Raw genomic sequence first — 23,505 nt, forward strand, 5'->3', positions numbered from 1 at the left:
TGAGTGACACTAAGTTGCCTTTTGGAAACTTTTGCAGTCTTAATTATCTGCAATCAAATAATGCCACCTTTTCAGAAACACTGGCCAGAGGACACACAAACGTGTGATCAACACTCACATGGGGACCATTCAGATTCCTTTGTAGGAGTCCCTTGCCATTCTTCCTTAGAGGAAAATGCTTGAATACTCTGAATGCAAAAGATAGCTCAGAGTTTGCCATATTTCCTCTTATAATGGTGATTACATTCCACTTCGTTGTTGTGTTTACCTAAGCTTAAAAATGTGCTAAATGAATTAAAATCATCTGAGATACTTACCATCCAAATGACTTGGAGTCCTGTAAGTCAAATCCAATATGATTAATCAATTAATTATTAGTAAAGACTCTTTGTGGGTAGATGGGTTTTTAATTTTTTTTTCTCTAGCTTTCAAGGACATTAAGTAACTTACATCAGGTTCTAATTGAAATGTTAGCCAGTTGATCATACAGGTAAAACAGGTTAATTATCAGATAGTAGCTGAATAACTACCTAGCAATTGCCATCTTAGATTAGTTATAATTATTTTGGCCCTCTTCACCAAAACACAGATTGTCCTTGATAATTACTTACAGATTCACTGAGCATTATTAAGAGGGGGACTGTTAAAGGTTGAAAACAAATGGTAATTATAGTCTAAAATCAAAAGAAATAAAATAAGGTCCACATAGCTCTCCTCAAATTTAGTGAGGTCTTTGCTTGGACATATTGCATTTTGTTATATTTTACATAGCATGTGGGAAAATACTGAAAGCCAATAGGACCTTGAGTTGATTATTTACATTCAGTGGTTCCTCTGAGAAAGAATAAGGAGGAAAGAAAGAAAAGCAGAGAAGGACAGATGTAGGACAGAGTAGAAAAAAGGGGGGCAGGGAAGAAGAGAGATGATAAGTACTGATCGCAGGAAAGTTGGTAATATGGAATTCAAAGGATAGAAGAAAGTGTTATTAAAAAATAGTAAAAAAGACAAAATAGTCTAGTAGGCTGAATGTTCACATCCTAATCCCTGGAGCCTATGAATGTTGTCTTATGGCTGAAAAGGACTTTGCAGAAATGATTATGTTAAGGATCTTGAGATGGGGAGAATATCCTTGAGTAACTGGGTGGACCCGAAATGCAATCCCATGTATCTTTATGAGTGAGAGGCAGATAGAGATTTGACACAGACAGAGGAGGGAGGGGTGTTGTAATCATGGAGGCAGAGATGAGAATAATGTATCCACAAGCCAAGGAAGGCCATCATTCTAGAGGCTCTGAGGAAGCACAGCCCTATCTAAGCTTTGATTTTGTCTTAGTGATATTAATTCTGGCCTTTTGGCCTGGGGAACTCTAAGGGAATGAATTTGCGGTGTTGTACACCATTAAGTATGTGGTAATTTGTTACAGCCACCATGAAATGCTAACATAGTCATTTAGCCATTCACAATTTTAATTTATTGCCTATTTTTGCCAGGGGCTGCTCTGAACACCAGGAAAAGAGAGAGAAGGGGGCTAAGTGAGGAGAAAAATGAGCAAAACAACAATAAGATTATTTCAGATAGCAATAGGTTCTATGAAATATATGAACAGAGAAATCAGAAATAACACGAGAGGGGGGAAGGGGCATGAGGTTGGGTCAGTGAAGGCTTTCCTAAGAGGGGGTTATTTGAGCCAATTATGTGAGGATATAGTATTTACTAACTTTTTTGAAATCATCACCACTTTTTAGTCTCAAAATAACCTTTGAAGATGAGAGTTATCCACATTGGAATAAGAAATAAGTCTTAGAGGACCAAAATATCTGACCAAAGATTACAGTGTTGTGAGTGGTAAAACTGGGGTTCAAGTTCAGGTTGGTCTATGCTAAAACTTAAACTCTTTGCAGGTGAGGTGCAGATAGAACAAACCATTGCACAGCATGGATTAAACTGCCACAGAAAGTTTTTTCAATTATTTCTAGTGAAGATATTGCGTTTTCTATTTAGACTGACATTATTTGACACATCATGTTGCCCAGGTCATAATGCATGAAGTGCTTGAGGTCATCAACAGCCATCAGTTTAGACAGGAGGCTTCAAGATTTTAAGAGCAAAACCTGCTCCTCCTGGATAAATGAGATTTCAATTTGACTTTTACCACCCCAAAGATTCACCTTCTTTCCCCTCAGTTTGACTCAGCTAAGAGAGTCAAAGAATCTCCCCTAAAAATCTCCCTGACATGTAAGTGAAACTATCATATGCAGATGAATGTGGCAGGCAGGTCAATGCCCTAGAGTGAACAGAGAAAAATGAGTTCTGCTGAAGGCCTGAGGAATCCTAATTTAATATTTACGGCCTTTGGCTTGATTGGGCTATGGCAAAAGAGAAGATTCTGCTCTGTTGTGTCAGTTTTCAGACCCCAGGGAATGACTGGCTGCCAGGCGAAGACCTGACTGACTTGTAACCAGCAGGCAACAGCCACAGCACAGCGCTCACACAGTGATTGTTTAATGGTAGAGCCAAGCTGGCTACAGAGACTCCTGGGGGAAGCCTACAAGCCTGTCAGTGCTTGTCAGTGTCGCTGTGACAACTAAATGCTCAGGAAGGAGCTGCAGAAAAGAAGAGTAGTAGATAACAAGGCCACCTTGAGAAGTCCTATGCTTTGAGCACCTAGGAAATACCACAAAGGAAGCGGGATGATGTGCTTCGCATTCCCAGCATTTCCCCTAAGAATATGTTTCTATACCGCATATGAAACATGTACACCTCCCAAAAAGTCCTGCCATAGTTATGGAAAGGTTTTAGAAAATGAGATTTTTATTATAGACTATGTTCCTTTTAGAAAAGTAAAAACAGGCCGGTCATGGTGACTCACGCTGGTAATCCCAGCTCTTTGGGAGGCTGAAGTGGCGGATCACGAGGTTGAATTTGAGAGCAGCCCAGCCAATATGGTGAAACCCCATCTCTACTAAAAATACAAAACTTAGCCGGGCGTGGTGGTGCACATCTATACTCCCAGCTACTCTGGAGGTTGAGGCAGAAGAATCGCTTGAACCTGGGAGGCGGAGGTTACAGTGACCAGAGATCGCACCACTGCACTCCAGCCTGGGTGACAGAGGGAGACTACAAGAAAAGTAAAAACAGTAACAATAGCAATGGCAAAACAATAGCTAGCATTCATTTTATAATTCCATGTGCCAGGCTCTGTTCTAAGGGCTTTAGGCATATGAACTCATTTAATTCTCATAACAGTCCCATGCAGTTGATAGTACCCTTATCTCATTCCATATATCAGCAGAATGAGAATGTGGCACACAGCTAAAAGAAAGGTGTCATTAACCTCAAAGGATTTAGCCAGGGATGAAGCCAGAGTGCATGATTACCTACACTGAGATGGAAAGTAGTTTTCAAGAAAGACTATGTGCATCAAGGCAAACTACCTGAATTGGAATCCTAGTTCAACAATATATTAGTTGGATAACCTTGAGAAAAAAAGTCTAATCTTTTTAAGACTCCATATTCTTATTCGTAATCATTGAGATAAGAATACTTTCTTTGCATAATTGTTGGGAAGGGCAATGAAATACCATAAGTAAAGCACTTAGAACAATTTGTGATAGATGGAAGGTTCTCCACAAATGATCGTTAAAGCATTTAATCAGAGGTGCCTAGGCAGAGTCGTTATCTAAGGCCAAACTTCTCTCAGTTTTGGTTTGCTTATTTCTTCTTTTTTTCTTTTTCTTTCCTGAGACAGAGTTTTGCTCTTGTTGCCCGGGCTGGAGTGCAATGGCGCCATCTCTGCTCTTTGCAACCTCCTCCTCCCGGATTCAAGCAATTATCCTGCCTCAGCTTCCCCAATAGCTGGGATTACAGGTGCACACCACCATGCCTGGCTAATTTTAATATTTTTAGTAGAGACGGGGTTTCACCATGTTGGCCGGGCTTGTCTCGAACTCCTGACCTCAGTTGATCAAACCTGCCTCCGTCTCCCAAAGTGCTGGTATTACAGGCGTGAGCCACCACGCCCAGCCTGCTCATTTCTAAAATGGAGGCATTAAAGCTTTCATTATAGACTCTGTAAAATAATTATACTTGATCATTTGTTTTTAAGCAATTTGTAAAAATACTAGGCCCTGATGATATGCTGGATAGCCTCCATGGTATTATTCTATTGTCTTTAAAATGGGAATAAAAAGTACTTGGTTGTGAGACTGGGGTTGTGGAGACTGGATGAGTAACATGGAGCAGAACTAGCACAGTGCCAGGTACATATTCTCTGCTGAATTTATGTCAGTTCTCATTTTACAATAATTGTGATTACTGAAGAATTGATGCCTAGCATGCATAGCTTAATCTCCATGAGATTTCTTTCTTTATTGTTGGTTTTTTTTTTCTTTTCCCAAAGAAGTATATAAGTGCACTAGCCATCAGTGAAACTACTGCCTTGTTAAAGATCTTCTTGCAACTGGACGTCAGTAAGGCAATATTTGGCAAAGCTTTAGCTATCTGGTCAATTTTCTCAGAGGGAAAAAGGAATGAGGCAGTCCATGGAGGACATTATTATGCAAGATTGTTAAACCTGCTCATCTTCTGACTTCTAGGAAGGAGCATGACAAGTCACAGCTGAAGAAAAAGATGCGTAGGGAGCAGGTGCTTATTTTTGTAAATAATTCATGGACCATCCCACTGCACAGCAGCTAATTTGAGGTAGTTGGGAGAAGATTACTTTGGATTGTTAAAAAAATACAAAAACACTCTCTTTCAGTTGACTGAGTCTGAAAAAATCTAGGTCATCCTGATATTCAGTTGAAAAAAGACATCCACCGTTAGTATACTTGCTACTTGCTGGGTTGATAATCCCCAGATGCAGTTTTAGAAAAATCAATAATCACATATAATAGTCTTTGGTAGCCCAACCTGCTCTTCAAAACCAGCTAATGAGCTGAGTGCCTGTGATGTGGATAAAGTTAGAAACAACTCATTACTGGGAGAGATCATGTTGAGAAGTCTTGGCCACTGGCTTTTTATGACAGCAGCTCCAGGGAATCTCTAAGCTTGCTGAAATGCTACATAATATATGAATCCATCAGTCCCCATCAAGGACTAATTAAACCAAGGAAGAACAAAATACCTGTGAACAAAAAGATGTCTTTTCATAAAACCAGGACCTCAGTTCTTCTACCTGAAGTGGCAACTCTGACTTTCCAAATACCATATTTGAGTAGGACTTGTGATGCAGCATAGCACAATTAAAGGAGATGTTATCTGTTGGCTGGTTGAAATGTAATAGTAAATGCAATAAAACTCCAATAGCATCCTTCTGTTTCAGTTCCCATATCCACATATCCATTTTAAAGAGGAATAAACCAGAGAGTTACAGGAGTTACTGGCCCAAATTCACACAGTTTGTGAATAACAGAGTGAAGACATGAATGAATAGGATCCCCATAATCAAAGCCCTGATGTTCTTTCCACTAGAGCAAATTTGCTAAATCCTTAGCGATCACTTCAGTCATATAGCTTATTTTACACATGTTCAGACACTGGCTCAAAGGATTTAAATGACTTCCCTAAGTTCCACAGGTTGTTAGAAAAGGGTTTCTTATAGACCTCAGACAATTGGTATTTTACAGGGTGGCCTCCACCAGTCTTCTTTGGAGACAGTTCTCCTTTCATTATTTGTACCAAACCACCTCCAACATACCAAGATTCCTTCTAAGACCATGAGTCATGTCAGATTCAGACATTTCACTATTCATGGGAACTAACAAAACTAATTCTAAGCTGGTGAGAGTACAACATAAATATTATGAACATTTCTAGCTACTACTTGATAAAATAAATTGGAGTGTGCCCAGGAGACTGCCAAGAATGGTGAGGGTGACTCAGAGAGTGACAACATGAGGACCAAGTTGAATGAATTAGGAAAAACCTCATTCTGGAGCAGACTTTTCAGAAACTGAGAAAGGAATTAATAGTGGTCTTTTCAAAGAAGGATTAAATATCATCCTTCATGTCTCTAATTTTTAGGAATCCATGAAGCAAGAACGTTTCAGAAAGATAAATTTGAACTCATTATAAGGAAAAATGTTCTAATGTCAGGATCATCTATACATACCTCAAGAGTAAGCAGAGAGGTACAGGAAATAAACCACTGAACCCAGAGAGAGGGATCAGCCACTAATGATTATGCAGCCATAAGCTGGTCATTTATCCTCTCTTGGCCTTGGTTTTCTTCTTTTGCAAAAGTGTGGTGTTGGAAAAGCTCTTTAGGGTCACTTCCTGGTCTAAAATTTTAATCATAAATATAATAATTAAGGTGTTTGCACAAAGGGCAGATTATGACATGTCAGAAGTATTATAGGGGATTTAACCATCAAATGCACCATGGAATTAAAATTAATTTAAGTTTTTTTATAACTCTGGAATTAAGTTGATATAACCCAAACCGAAACTAGATCCGTAACCCCTACTTTAATGAGATATTAACTAAAGCATAATTGACCATTTCATATTTATCATCTAAATCTTAACAGTTAAAATGTTTAATGAGAAAGGGGAAGGAAGAGGAAGAGAGCAGAAAGAATGGGAAATTTTGCTTTCTTTGAGCAGAATATTAGATGCAATTATATTCATGTGTTAATACGCTCTATTATTCTTGAGGCAGAGTCAATTAAGATAATGTGTGACACACAACATGTGACTTGGTAAGTAAAGACATAAAGAACAATTACAATTATATCAAACTGTTCTAGTGATGACATAATGAAAATCCTGCCGGGCATAGTCACCACAGTTTGTATCAATAAAATCCCAGCATGGGACACTGGATTCTACCACCAAAAATTCTGCAATTTCTGCATCTGGAACTTTCATATAGAGACCAGTTCTGCTGCTCTTTGTCTCTTACAGTGATTCTGTGTATTCTGATCTCTTTTGCCTTGCCAATTCTGATGTAAAGTCCAGGGAAGATATGTCTGACTGTGGGAATTAGATATACTCTTGTTTCTATTTGCCAGGGAGGCTGATAAAATAAGTCTCTGGCATTTTCAGTTTCTAAAATGAAGGAAAAGTTGTACTTCACAACAGTGGGCCTTAACTAAAAAGAGGAAGAGGGAAGTTTTGTAATATGGCTGAGTAGAAGAAGCTATTATGCATTGTTTTCATGGAGAGAAGAAAGATTGGCGAATAAACACTGGTCTTCAACTGAAACATCCAGATGGACACATTGAGGTTCATCAAGGAAACAACTGGACCCACGGAGAATGGACAGGGGTAAGACGGGATGGCTGCCCACCTGGGAGTGGCACAGAGCCAGGGGAGGCACCCTCACGCTGGGAAATGGTGAGAGTCCCTGGGGATCCATACTTCTGCCATGGACCTTTGCAACCCTGGCTCAGCAGACCCCCTGTGAGCCTCCCCACCGGGGCCTCTAGACTGACACAGAGAGCTACGTGGAGTCTGGGTACAGCTGCCGCTCAGGCATACATGGAGTCCTGGGAGCCTTGGATCCTTGGGCATCCCTGCATTAGCAACTGCAGCTCTGGCAATGGGGGAGGTCAAGCTCCTTCACAAGATCCCAGGAAAGGGTCTGAATCCAGGAGACAGAGCTGCAATAAAATGCAGGCCTCACCTGCACTGCATCTCACAGGACAAGGCCCATTGGCTTGGGGTGCTAGCGTGGCCACACTAGCCCTGTCTGGGCTCTGGGGCTGGTAGCCGGTCTGCACTTCCCTAGCAGGTAGTAGGTTTGCAGCTCCCAGAAGGAGCGGCAGGCCACAATTTTGCTATTTTGCAGCTCTAGCTCCTGTTGCCCTCAGGCTCTGGAGAGAGTGTGGTGATTAGGGAGTTGGGAGGATCTCCAGTACAAAGCTGTGGCCTCAAGGAAAAACAGCCAGACTATTTTCCACATGAGTCCCTGTTCCTGATTCTCCTCACTGGGTGGGGCCTCCCAACCTGGGACTTCACCACAGCTTCTGTGCCCCCATCTGAACACTTAGAGGCAGATCTGCATTTCTCCAAGGAGGAAAAACCAGAGGCAGCCCACAGCCCCTCCACCATTGCAGCTGCAGCAGTACCACCCTAAGCACCCTCAGACTGTGGAAGGAACAAAGAGCCTGGTCACTACACCTCCAGCACACCACAGTCATCATATGGTAAGGAGCCCAGTCTCTCTTTCCTTTGAGCTCTCCACTCCCCACTCTTTACCAGGCAGGGCCCCCTGGCTCAGGACCACAGAACAGCTGCCTGGTCCTCAGCTGAGCATACCTACTGGTAGTGGCTCTGTGTTTCTCTGGGGAGGGGCGCTCTCAGAGCAACTGAGAGCCCCTATGTCACTGCTGTCCTTGTTCTGGGGAAAAAACAAAGAGGCTGAGGGTTTCACCCTTGCTTTCAGCACACCACAGTCACCATACAGAGAAGAGCCCAGTCTTTCCTCCCTGTGAGCCCTAATGAAGCGGAGCCCCCAGCTCAGGCCAGCAGTACAACCATCCTCCCCACTGGCTGAACATTCCTAGTAGCAGCAGCCCCACATTTCTCTGAGCTACTATTCCCAGAGACAATCAAGAGCTCCTCTGCCACTGCCACTGCAGTGGTACTGCTCTTGCCACCCTCTGAATGAATAAGGAACACAGACCCTGAGTGCTTTAGCCTGACCTCCAGCAAGCTGCAGTTGCCCTGAGGAGAGGAGGCTAGTCTATCTCCTCCATGACCACCTAACCCTTCCTGCTCTCTACAAGGCAGGGCTCCCCCAGCTTGAGCCCACAGCACAGCTGCCCCACCCCAGGCAGATTGCACTGATTGATAGCAGCTCTGCATCTCTCTAGGGTGGAGTCCCAAGTGACAAGTGAAAGGCCCTCTGCCACAACCATTCCCAAGGTACCTTACTGTGCTGCTTCCAAGCTGCGGAAGGAATATAAAGCCTGAGCTCACCCCAGAGCTGTGGTGTGCAGCCTGAGAGTGCCAAGCTGATATCTGCAGCCAACACTCAAGTGGGAGAAGAGCCCACACTTTGAGACAACTGAGAAAAAGCACAGATGCAATTGTGAGGACATATAGAGGAGGCACGCGCCTGAGCAAGAGCCTACATAGGGGATATTATTCTATTATTCTTAAGTGCCATCTACTGGATTACAGCCTAAACTTCAACATCAAAAATACTTTGCTAATATAGCCCCCTGTGAAACCAAAGACAATAATTCAGCTGCAAATAAAGACCTTGAAGAAAGTCTTGGCCCTCTGAAAACATCCAGAAGTCTACTGACTTTCTTCAAATTACACTGCAGTTAAAGGAACATCAGCCAATACAGATGAGAAAGAATCAGTACAAGAACTTTGGCAACTCAAAAGGCCAGAGTGTCTTCTTTATTCCAAATGAATACACTAGTCTCCCAGCTTGGGTTCTTAACAAAGCTGAAATGAACGAAATGACAGAAATAGAATTCAGGATATGGATAGGTAAAAAAAGTCATCAAGATTCAGAACAAAGCTGAAACCTGATTCAAGGAATCTAAGAGTTACAATAAGACAATACTAGAGCTGATAGACAAAATGGCCATTATAAGAAAGAACCAAACTGATCTGAGAGAGTTGAAAAATAATCTACAAGAATTGCATAATGCAATTGCAATATTAACAGCAGACTAGAACAAACTGAGGAAAAACATATCAGAGCCTGGGACTGGTCCTCCAAACTAATTCAATCAGACAAAACTAAAGAAAGATGAATAAATAAGAATGAACAAAACCTCCAAGAAATATGGGATTATGTAAAGGCACCAAATTTATGACTCACTGACATCCCTGAAAGAGATGGGGAGAAAGCAAGCAACTTGGGAAACATATTTCAGGATATTGTTCATGAAAACTTCCCTAAGCTTGCTAGAGAGGCCAACATTCAAATTCTGGAAATGTAGAGAATCCCTATGAGATACTAAACAAGAAGAGAATCCCCAACACACATAATCATCAGCTTCTCCAAGGTTGAACTGACAGAAAAAATTGTTAAAGGCAGTTAGAGAAAAGAGGCAGGATACCTACAAAGGGAACCCCATTAGGAGAACAGCCAGAAGAAATCATGGGATACAGTCAGCGTTCTTAAGGAAAAGAACTTCCAACAAAGAATTTCATATCCAGCCAAACTAAGATTCATAAGTGAAGGAAAAATAAGATCCTTTTTAGAAAAGCAAATGCTCTGAGAACTCATTACAACCAGACCTATCTTACACAAGGTTCTGAAAAGAGTACTAAATATGGAAAGAAAAGACCTTTACCAGCCACTACAAAAACATAATTAAGTACACAGACCATTGACTCTTGAAAGAAACAACACAAACAAGTCTGCATAATAACCAGCTAAGACCATGATGACAGGATCAAATCCACACATACTGATATGAACCTTAGGTGGTGTTATGAGGCAAGCTTATAGCACTAAACTCCCACATAAAAAGGTTACAAAGATTTAAAATTAACATCCTAACTTCAGAAGTAGAGGAACTGGAGAAACAAAAGCAAACCAACTCTATAGCTAGCAGAAGACAAGAAATAACCAAAATCAGAACTGAACTGAAGGAAATTGAGATGCCAAAAAACATACAAACATCAATGATTCCAGGACTTGGTTCTTTGAAAAAAGTAATAAAATATATAGAGCACTAGCTAGACTAATAAAGAAAACAAGAGGGAAGATCCAAAACCAGCATCAGAAATGACAAAGGGGAAGTTACCAATGACCCCACAGAAAAAAAACAAAAACAAACAAAAAACCCTTAAAAAACACTATGAACACCTCTATACACAAGAACTAGAAAATCTAGAAGAAATGGTTAAACTCCTCGATACAAACAACCTCCCAAGACTGATCCAGGCATAAACTGAATTGCCAAAAAGAACAATAATGAATTCCAAAATTGAATCACTATCAGAAAGCCTACAACCAAAAACAAAAAAAAAAAATCCCCGGACCAGATATATATACATATCTATATCTATCTATCTATCTATCTATATATATATATATATACACACACACACACACATATATATATACATATATATATATGTATGTATATATATATACAACCGCATTCTGCCACATGTATCAAGAAGAGTTGGTACCATCCCTACTGAAATGATTCCAAAAAATCATGGCAGGGGAACACCTCCTTGAATTATTCTGTGAGGCTAGCCTCATCCTGATACCAAAACCTGGCATCAATACAACAAAAAAAGGGTAATACAACTTCAGGTCAATATCCTTGATGAGAATAGATGCAAAACTCCGCAACAAAATGCTAGCAAAATAAATCCAGCAGCACATGAAAAAGCTAATCCACCAAAATCAAGTAGGGTTTATCCTTAGGATGCAAGGTTGGTTCAATATACATAAATCAAAAAATGTGATCCACCATGTAAACAAAATAAAAAGCAAAAACAACAGATCATTTCAAGAGATGTAGAAAAGGCTTTCAATAAACTTCAACATCCTTTTGTGTTAAAGACTCTCAACAAACTACGCATTGAAGGAAAATTCTTCAAAATAATAAGAGCCATCTATGACAAACCCACAGCCAACATCATACTGAATGGGCAAAAGCTGTAAGCATTCCCCTTGAAAACCAAAACAAGATAAGGATGCCCTCTCTCACCACTCCTATTCAATATAGTATTAGAAAGTCCTGGCCAGAACAATCAGGCAAGAGAAAGAAATACAAGGCATCAGGCTGGGCACGGTGACTCATGCCTGTAATACCAGTGCTTTGGGAGGCCAAGATGGGCAGATCACTTGAGGTCAGGATTTTGAGACCAGCCTGGCCAACATGGCGAAACTCTGTCTCTACTAAAAATATAAAACTTAGCCGGGTGTGGTGGTACGTGTCTGTAGTCCCGAGCTACTCGGGAGGCTGGGGCAGGAGAATTGCTTGTACCTGGGAGGCGCAGTTTGCACGCCACTGCACTCTAGCCTGGGTGAAAGAGCAAGACTCCACTCAAAAACAAAAACAAAAAGAAATACAAGGCATCCTAACAGGAAGAAAGTCAAACTATCCCTGTTTGCAGATGATACGAATACATACCTAGAAAACCCCATAGTCTCTGCCCAAAAGTTCCTTGATTTGATAAACAACTTCAGCAAAGTTTCAAGAACTTTGCTTGGTTTAATAAACAACTTCAGCAAAGTTTCAAGAACTTCAGGAACAGATAACCAAATACCACATGTTCTCACTTATAGGTCAAAACTGAATAATGAAAACACATGGACACAAAGAGGGGAACAACAGACACCCTGGGCATACTTCAGGGTGGAGGGTGGGAAGAGGCAGAGAAACAAAAAACTACACATCAGATACTATGTCTATTACCTGGGCAATGAAACAACCTGTACCCCAAACCCCCATTGATCCGCAGTTTACCTACATAACAAACCTGCATAGGTACTCCTGAACTTAAAATAAAAGTTGGAAATTGAAAGAGGAATCGGATGTTAAACAACCAAAAAATGATGAATATGCATTGCAGCCAAAGAAAGTGAAAGTTTTAAGAAAAATGAAATGGTCAGTAGTGTCAAGTGTTGCAGAGGCCAAATGTGCAAGAACTGAGTTGATGCTTTTGAATTGTGCTAATAGAAAGTTATTAAAACCTTTTTTTTTTTTTTTTTTTTTTTTTTGAGACGGAGTCTCGCTCTGTCCCCCAGGCTGGAGTGCAGTGGCGCGATCTCGGCTCACTGCAACCTCTGCCTCCCGGGTTCATGCTATTCTCCTGCCTCAGCCTCCAGAGTAACTGGGACTACAGGCACTCCCCCACCATGCCTGGCTAATTTTTTTATGTTTTTAATAGAGACGGGGTTTCACCATGTTAGCCAGGATGGTCTGGGTCTCCTGACCTCGTGATCCGCCCACCTGGGCCTCCCAAAATGCTGGGATTACAGGTGTGAGACACCTTATTAAAACCTTTTATGAAGGTTGTTTCTGCAGAGTATTGGGATCAGAAGCTAGATGTTATGGGTAAGAAGTGGATGCAACCAGAGGAAGTATCATAAGTAGTAAATACATATTCTCCCTATTAATGAAATTCTAGAATGGTCAGATAAAAAATTTCATTTTCATCAACTCATAGGCCATTGGTGCTATTTCTCAGAGGTGATTACTATGCTCAGACTCTCTTGTGGGAAGAATCATTAATGGTGATGGACCTCAAATGCCTTAAATATTAGTAATTCATGCCACTGTATTGTACACTGATCAACTATACTTTGTGAGTTCTTATTTGATTCTAGTTGTATCTTCAAATTTGTAGCTTTCAGACCTCTCAATAATAGCTCATTCTCTCTGTAATAATATAAAACAAGAAAGAGGATTGCATGTCACGTAATTATAATTGGGAACTGCACGGAACATGGAACTGGCTACCCTTTTCTAAACCAGTATCATATGCTTCAAAATTTTTATTTCCTTTATTTTATGAGATAAGGTCTTACTCTGTCACCCAGGTTGGAGTGCAGTGGTGTAATCATAGCTTACTGTAATCTTTAATTCCTGGGCTCAAACAATCCTCCCATCTCAGTCTCCCAAGTAGCTAGGACTACAGGCTGCACCACCAAGTCTGGCTGTTTTTAAAATTTTTGTAGAGATGGGATCTCTGTGTTGTCCAAGATGGTCTTCAGCTCTTGGCCTCAAGTGATCCACCCAGTTCAGCCTCCCAAAGCTCTGTCATTTCATCTTTCAACTGACAAGTAAAAATTGTATATGTTTATGGTGTTGATCAAAACATGATGTTTATGTACATTTTGTGTAATGGCTAAATCAAGCTAATAAACATATGTATTACTTCATATACTTATTTTTGTGTGTGTGCATGGAAAGGACACTTAAAATCCACTCTCTTGGCAATTGTCAAGTATACAATATATTGTTATTAACTATAGTCACCATGGTGTACAATGGATCTCTTGACATTTTTTCTCCTAACTGAAATTTTGTATCCTTTGATCAACATTTCCCCAATTCCCCTATTCCTCAGTCTGTGGTATCCACCATTCTACTCTCTGATTCTGAATAATTTTGACTTTTGTAGATTCCACATTTAAGTGAGATTATTATTCATTTGTCTTTCTGTACCTGGTTTATTTCACATACCATAATGTCTTTTAGGTTCAACCACATTGTTGCAAATGACAGACGCTCTTTTTCCACCTCTTCTACCACTAATACCATCTCTGCATACCTTAGCATCATGAAGTAGTTTCAGAATGTTTGTTTACGTGTTCTCTTTCTATTTCTTTCATTCTTTAAGTAAACTGTTTTCTTATTTTCTTTCCACTTCTTCAGTTAAGACATTGAAGTTTACTCTCAATAGTTGTTCCGATATTATTCCCTTTGCTTCTTACTCTAGAACCAGAGGTGAGACGTGCCCATTTCCCTGCCTGTGCCAGTAATCTCCCTGAGATGATGGAATTCTGGGTTTCTCCCATGAGAAGGTTAGGCAAACTCTTGGGAAGGTATGCAATATCCAGTGTCTATGTTATTGTGTTCATTCATTCATTTTTTCATTTATTCGACAAATGTTTTCAGAGCAACTAGTTTTTTATCAAGCACCATTTTATTCTTCATTACTATTCCATTCTTGTACTTTTCATGATATATGTAACAGGTGCTCAATAAATGTTTGCTGAAGAAATAAGTACGTAAATAAATAAATGTAGGTCGAGGAGACATGTACAACACAAAGACTGTATATAAACAGACACTTTGGAAAAATAATCTAGGACTTTGGATTTGGTGGCACAATTACATAAAATTATTTGGTTTCATCAAATATCACCACCAAAAACATTATTTAACAGGTAGGTTAATGCATTAATGATACAGACTCATTTTTGCATGCTTCACATTGATGCCATCAGTAGGGATGAAATGCAGTCTTGAGGCAGCTGCCGAAATTCTAACAAAATTGTAGATGTCAGAAAGTGAAATGTCTGATGTCAAACAAAAAAAGGAAGTGTCTGTCAGAGCATTCTGATGAGGGTTGAATGTCTGCTACTGGCAATAATAATTATTTCAGCAGAGTCTCAAAGGTCAGAGTTCCAGGAGGAGAAACGTCACTAGGGAAGTAAAACTTATTTAATGACAAAGAATTAATATTGGCAAGTTATCAGAATGCCAGGGATTTATTACAAGAGAAAGAGCCAAAGATGCAGAGTTATAAAATAAAACCAGTGAAACAGGAAATACAAAGCAGTAGAGCCTTGCTGTGCATAATAACATTTTCTTTTGTAGCTACAGCATAGAGTGACTTCTTAGTTAACTGCTACATTTAAATTTGCATCTCAAATTATGATAGAGAATTCTGCAGCAAAGCAAGAAATTGGAATTAAAAAGTTCAGATAAGTTTAATACTAAAATACCCACATGGTGATAACTGTCAGTGTTACAGATGGAATATGAAAAGCTGATGAATGAATGGAAATAATACAAATTTGGGGTTTTTAGATTGTTTTCAACCTATCTCTTCCCTTTGTGATGAGATTTGAAGCAAGGGTTGTCTATGTTGAAACACCCAAATAAAAACCTTTACAATTTCCATTGCTTTGTCATTGAAAAGTAAAAATTAAAATTTCAAATCTATGTTCATTTTTAACATATTTCTAAAGCAATTGAGATGAATAATTTAGAGCCTGAGTTTTGGAGAGATCTGTGCTTTGAGACCTTGATTCATCCCTTACCAGTAATTTGCTCTTCATGTCTGTAAGACTTAGTTTCCTCATACGTAAAAAGAGATAATTGTAGGTACTCCTACTCAGGTTTGTTGGATGGCTAAATGAGACTGTGCATTTAAGGCACTTATGTCATGCTTTGACACACTGTTATTAGTTATACTGACAAACAGTGGTCATGTTGTAATAATGTTTATGCTAATCATCATTACTGTTAGTCTTTAGGTGAAATTGAATGTAAAAGCTTGGCTCTTATGCTGTCTTGCGCTTTTGAAAGTTGTTTAGTCATCCTTTGCCTAAATTTCTTTACCAGCATAATAATAAATAGGGTTTATATGAAGTTTAAATACTTATTAATAAAAGACAGTAGGCTAATAGGTTATCCATATGGAGAAAATGATACTTGACCTACACAGCAAAGCATATACAGATAGTAACCACTCTGTAAGTATTTGCTACTTTCATGATGAAGAACAATAGCATTTCCTTCCAAACACTTATTCCCTATAACTATCTCTTGATATCCCTTAAAGCCTTTTACTTCTAATCTTCTTCAATCCACCATCCTCTTTTCCTTAGAGAATTACAGTAGCCTTTAACTAGTCTTCCTATATTTATGTTTTAATATGAAATAAAAAATTAAGTTATGAACTGGCACACACACACAGAAAATATGCAAATGTATACCATGCCATATCATCATAAATACAATACTTACACAGCCAACACTCAGTTTAAGAAATCAAGCATTGCCAAAATTCCTTTTTATTATTATTATTATTATTATTATTATTATACTTTAGGTTTTGAGGTACACATGCACAACGTGCAGGTTTGTTGCATATGTATACATGTGCCATGTTGTTGTGCTGCATCCATTAACTCATCATTTACATTAGGTATTCCTCCTAATGCCATCTCTCCCCCCTCTCCCCACCCCATGACAGGCCCCAATAACAGACAAATAGAGACAGCCAAATCATGAGTGAACTCCCATTCACAATTGCTTCAAAGAGAATAAAATACCTAGGAATCCAATTTACAAGGGATGTGAAGGACCTCTTCAAGGAGAACTACAAACCACTGCTCAAGGAAATAAAAGAGGATACAAACAAATGGAAGAACATTCCATGCTCATGGATAGGAAGAATCAATATCATGAAAATGGCCACACTGCCCAAGGTAAATTATAGATTCAATGCCATCCCCATCAAGCTACCAATGACTTTCTTCACAGAATTGGAAAAAACTACTTTAAAATTCATATGGAACCAAAAAAGAGCCTACATTGCCAAGACAATCCTAAGCCAAAAGAACAAAGCTGGAGGCATCACGCTACCTGACTTCAAACTATACTACAAGGCTACAGTAACCAAAACAGCATAGTACTGGTACCAAAACAGAGATATAGACCAATGGAACAGAACAGAGTCCTCAGAAATAATACCATACATCTACAATTATCTGATCTTTGACAAACTTGACAAAAACAAGAAATGGGGAAAGGATTCCCTATTTAATAAATGGTACTGGGAAAACTGAAAAAGCTAAAACTGCATCCCTTCTTTACACCTTATACAAAAATTAATTCAAGATGGATTAAAGACTTAAATATTAGATCTAAAACCATAAAAACCCTAGAAGAAAACCTAGGCAATATCATTCAGAACATAGGCATGGGCAAGGACTTCATGACTAAAACACCAAAAGCAATGACAACAAAAGCCAAAATAGACAATGGGATCTAACTAAACTAAAGAGGTTCTGCACAGCAAAAGAAACTACCATCAGAGTGAACAGTCAACCTACAGAATGGGAGAAAATTTTTGCAATCTACTCATCTGACAAAGGGCTAATATCCAGAATCTACAAAGAACTTACACAAATTTACAAGAAAAAAATCAAACAACCCCATCAAAAAGTGGGCAAAGCATTGCCAACATTTCATAGCTACATCCTCCTAAGCCTCTCCCCAATCACAGCTCCTTGATATCCTGCTAACCATCATTACTTTACTGACATGTAATGTAATCAACCTCTTGCTTTGTTTCATTATTTTAGCACATGTGTGTATATCCTTTAAGACCATAGGTTAGTTCTTCATCTTTGAACTCTATATTAAATACATTATTCAATAGGAATTATTTCATGTTTGGATTTTTTTCTCAACATTATGTTTGTGAAATCCATCTATATTGTCATGTAAGGCATAGTTTATTCACTTTAGTTACTGTCTAAAACTCAATTTTATGAACATACCACAGTGTACTTATCCGTTAAATTTTTGATGAACATTTGGATTAGTTCTAGTTTAGGGCTACTATAAAAGATGCTAAAATAATGTTTGAACTTATCCTTTGGAGCCCACATGCTAAGTAACTTTTTTTTTTTTGGTAATATACATTGATAAGGAGTTGCAGGTTATACATAATATGGAATGTACTAGATAATACCAAACTCTTTACAAAATATTTGTACTAATTTATAGTTCCCTCAGTAATATATGAGAATTTCCATTCTATTTAAATCGTTTTCAATACCTGGTGTTATAAGACTTTCAAAAAATTAGCTATCCTCATGGATATAAACTGGTATTTTGTTATGATTTTAATTTGCATTTTCTTTATGACTAATATGATTGAGGGGATTTATGTATTTGGAACACTTTGAAAATGCTTTTTTGATAAAAGCCTGTTTAAGGAAATTGACCATGATTCTACTAAATTTTCTTGCTTTTTATTAGTGCTTAGTAGGTTTGAGCATCACACAAAGTTACAAGGCTTTGGATGCTTAAAGTGTTGCAAATACTTCTCTGTAGTTTGAGTTTTTACTGTCTTAATGGTGACTTTTGCTGATGAACATACTTATATGTAAACTAAATTAATTTATCAACCTTTTTCTTTATGATTAATGCTTTCTGTTTCCTAACAGAAAAATTTCCCTACCCTAACTTCATTATAATGTCTCTATTATAATTTCTTTACAGTTTTGTCTTTGACTTTAGTTCTATAATCTACTTAGAATTGTGTTTGTAAATGGTGTATGGTTGTACTTCATTATTTTCCATAGCACCATTTATTGAAAAGGCCATATTATCCCTATTGTTTTGCACTGCAAATTTCATAAGTTTATTATATATGAAATTTCCTTATGCAGTTGGTTATTTTGGAGGATTTTCTATTCTGTGCCATTTGCTTATTTATCTAGCCTTACACTAATATCATGATTTTATAAACTGTAACTTTATAGTAAATCTTAATATTTGGTAAAGCAAATAATCCCAATATGATCAACTTCTTTACAAATGTCTTAGCTATTATGGATGTTTTGAAGTTCCATATATATGAGTTTACTGTGCGCTATGAGAATTACTATAAACTTGGTGGCTTAAAGCGATACCCACATATATTTTCTTATAGCTCTGGAGCCAGAAGTCCAAAATCATTCGTGTTGAGCCAAAATCTACCTTTCTGAAGGCTCATATTTCCTCCAGAGGCTCTAGGAAAGAAACAGTTACTTGCTTTTTCCAACATCTGAAGTTGCATTTCCTGCATTCAAACAGAGCGGCAACATCATTTCAGTCTACCTCTAAGATCACATTGTCTTCTTGTCTTCACTGTAAAATCTCCCCCAACTCCCATTTGTAAGGATAATTGTGATTAGATTTAGACTCAGCTAAATAATCCAAGCTATTTTCCCCACTTCAAAATCCTTAATTTGGCCGGGCGCTGTGGCTCACGCCTGTAATCCCAGCACTTTGGGAGGCCGAGGCGGGCGGATCACGAGGTCAGGAGATCGAGACCATACTGGCTAACAGTGAAACCCCGTCTCTACTAAAAATACAAAAAATTAGCCGGGCATGGTGGCGGGCACCTGTAGTCCCAGCTACTCGGGAGGCTGAGGCAAGAGAATGGCGTGAACCCCGGGAGGCGGAGCCTGCAGTGAGCCGAGATTGCACCACTGCACTCCAGACTGGGCGACAGCGAGACTCCATCTCAAAAAAAAAAAAATGCTTAATTGGATTGTTTCTGCAGAAAATGTTTTTCCATATAAGGTAACATTTACAGGTTCCAGGGGATTAGGACCACGATATCTTTGGGCACCGTTATTCAGCCTATTATACCACATATCAGATCATAATCATTCTCCTTTCTTTCTTTTTCATTGACATACTATTTTTTTGTTTTACGTTTCAATTATAGATATGTGTATATATATAACAAAGAATGTATATATAGGTATATACATAGTTTTTTCAATGTATATATACATATATAAACATATATATATACATGTATGTGTACATATTACATTTCATAATTTAATTTTTTGGTGTGTGTGTATATATATTATATATAATATATGTATATATAATATATATTATATATCATATATGTATATATAATATATATTATATATATATAACAAAGAATTGTAACCAGAACGTATTAAAAGTTACTACAGCACAACAATAAGACAAACACATCAATATAAATTTTTGTATGGATTCTTTTTTTTGTATAGTATCATACTTCTTCTACCTGAAAAAGTTTTTGAACATTTTTGTTGTTCAAATCTACTGAAAATAAATTGGTTTATATTGGTCAAAACACACTTTCTATATTTTGAAAGATGTTTTACTGAGTACATAATTCTGGATTGATGGTTTTATTTTTCTCGAACTTTTAAGATGATACTACATTATGTTTTAATTTATGTATCTTCTGAGGAAAAGTTTTTTTGTAATACTTATCTTTATTCCTCAGTATGTAATGTGACTTTTTTCTTTGGATTTTTTTTCCTCAAGATTATCTTACTTATCTTGATTTCCAGTATTTTAAATGTAATGTGTTTAGATGTATTTACTTTTAGTTCTTGCTATTTTTCTCTGCTTCTGTTTTTCTGAGCTTTTTGGATGATGGTATAATGTCTTTTACAATTTTTGGAAATGTATCTGTTATTATCTCTTTAATTCTTTTTTCTTCCATATACCCTCTCTTCTTCTGAAATTCTAATGACAAATGTTATATTATTTGCTATTGTCTCACAATTTTGAATGAACTCTCCTTTTCTTCTCTACCCTTTTCTCTTTGTGTTTCAATTTTGGTAAGTGCTATTGACATTTCAAGTTAACCAGTTATTTTCTCACCCTCATCAAGTTTACTAATTCGCTCACTATAGTTATCAAGCACTATTTATATTGAGAATTCAAGGTTGGCTCAGCATTTGGAACTGAATTAGTATGGTTTGTCATACCAATGGACTAAGGAGTAAATAAAACACCATGTTCTTAATAGATTCAAAAACTCCTTTTGCAAGAGAAAATATCAATCCATATTAGCACCCTAAGAATAAAAGAGAACTCCTTAACCTGAAGTGAGCATCTTCTTAAGAAACTTCAGTTAACTTCATACCTATTGGTGAAAGCTGAATGTTTTCCCCTTATTATTGGGAACAAAACAAGATGTTTGTTCTCACCACCTTTATTCAATATTATGCAGGAGGTCCCAGCTAGTCAAAGAGGAAAGAAAAAATATAAAGCCTATAGATTGAAAAGAGGAAAATAAAATAGTCTGTATTTGCAGATCACAAAATTATCTACATAGTAAATCCCAAGGACTTTACAAAAAAAGTTACTTGTCTAACAAAGTTGCAAGAGTACAAGGCTAATAAACACCTACAATTGTATTCTTATAGAGTAAACTGAATTAAAAATACCAATTAAAATAACAGTAAAGAAAACCTAAAAATATTAGGGAAAAATGTACAAAATCTGTGCAAAATTTTATTACTGAAAACTGCAAAACACCAATGAAATAAATAAAAATTAATCAATGGAAAGCTGTACTGACTTGAACGATTCAATCTAGTTTAGATGTTAGCACTTTCTGAACTGATCTGCATATTAATTACACTCCAAATAAAATATTACAACAGAATTTGTTTGTAGAAACTGACAATGTTATTCTAACTTTCATAGGAGAAGACATAGAATCAAGAATTGCCTAAATAATTTTTAAAAAGAACAAAGTTGGAGGACTACCTGATTTAAGACTTACCACAAAAAGAAAACCCAATAGTAGTCAAGATAATGTGTCATTGGTGAAAGTTTAGACTCATTGACCAATAAAACCGAATAAATAACCCAGAAAATACATGTATATACATCCATACATGTATTCATTACTAAATGGCTGGATATTCATTTGATTTTGATAAAGGCACAGAGGCCATTTAATGAAAGAAAGGTAACCTTTCCAACTGGTGGTGGTGTAACAATGAGCTCCAAATATGTATATCCTATCTCATACCATTTAAAAAAGAACTCAAAATGGGTCATAGAAGCAAATACAAAAGTTAAAACTGTAAAATTTCTGGAACAATGCATAACAAAGTTTGTACAATTGAATTGGGAAACTATCAGATAGGACATCAAAAGCATGATTAATGAAAAAAAACTAAAGTGAACTTTATTGAAATTGAAATCTGCTGGGAAAATACTTTAGCAAATGAAAAGGAATGCCACAGACTAGGAGGAAATATTTGCAAAGCACATATATGATAAAAACCTTATATCCTGGAAATATAAAAAAACTCTTTATGTAAACCCAAATATAACCTTAAAACTCAGCAAAAAGCAAATGACCTATTATAAAATGTGAAAAAATGTGAATACTTTATCAAAACAAGATGTTTAGAAGGCAAATATGAACATTGAAAAGATGCTTAACATCACTAGTCATTAGAAAAATGCAAATTAAAAACCACATCAGATACAAATACACATATACTATAATTGATGAATACTTGCAAAATGACATACCAGAAGGAGCAACTGTGACTCTTACACACTGCGATGAACATGTTAACTGGTATAGCTACTTTGAAAAATAATTTTGGAGTGTTTAATAAAGTTGAACATACCCAACAACAACAGAAATCTCACTTCTAAATATTTACCCCAAGACAAGTCAAAATGTATATTCACAGAATCACCTGTATATGAATGTTATAATGACATTATATATGATTTTTAAAATGAACTATCTCAAATATTCTTCTACGGGTAAGTGGATAAACGTGGTTTGTTGTAACAGCAAAGGTTGCAGTCTAGGCATTTGAAGTAGAACATCACACCCAGATGGTACAAGCCTGTGGCCAGAAAAGAACTTAGAGGCAACTCTTCTGTCTAGCAGATGTGGCTGCCCACTTTTCCACTACTTCCTTTAAATGGACAATTCAGACATTACCCACAAACTTATTCCCCAAAAAATACACACAGTGAGTTTCCTCTCTCTCTTCCTCTCTCTACTTGACTATTCATTCCTGTTTTTGTGACCTGAAGACAGAAGATTGTTCTCACAAATTAGCCTTATTTTCTATTGTGACGATGTATTGATGTGATCTTTCCATCTGAAGAACCAAAGGATGGCTGAGGCTGGATTTTCTCCACGACGCCTGGAGGACACAAGTGCAGGCTCTCAGCACCAGAGCGGTGGCCAGACAGTCATGAATTGGACAGACAAAAAAAGGATGCCATGAAGAGCACACTTAAACACTCATGCCCAGCTGCCCTTCATTTCATGTTAGGGCAGGGTTTCTAGCTGCTCTGGGACTGGGTTCCCAATTTAGCTGGGGGATCTTGAGGCTTATTATACATACAATGGAATATTACGCAATAATAAAAAGGAATGAATTACCGATACATACTCAACACCATGGGTGGATCTAAAGTGTATTATGCCAAATGAAAGAAGCCAGAATCAAAAGGTTTCATATCATACCATTTCATTCATATGAC

This window comes from Homo sapiens, chromosome 11 (assembly GCF_000001405.40).
Source record: "Homo sapiens chromosome 11, GRCh38.p14 Primary Assembly".
Lineage (NCBI taxonomy): Eukaryota > Metazoa > Chordata > Mammalia > Primates > Hominidae > Homo > Homo sapiens.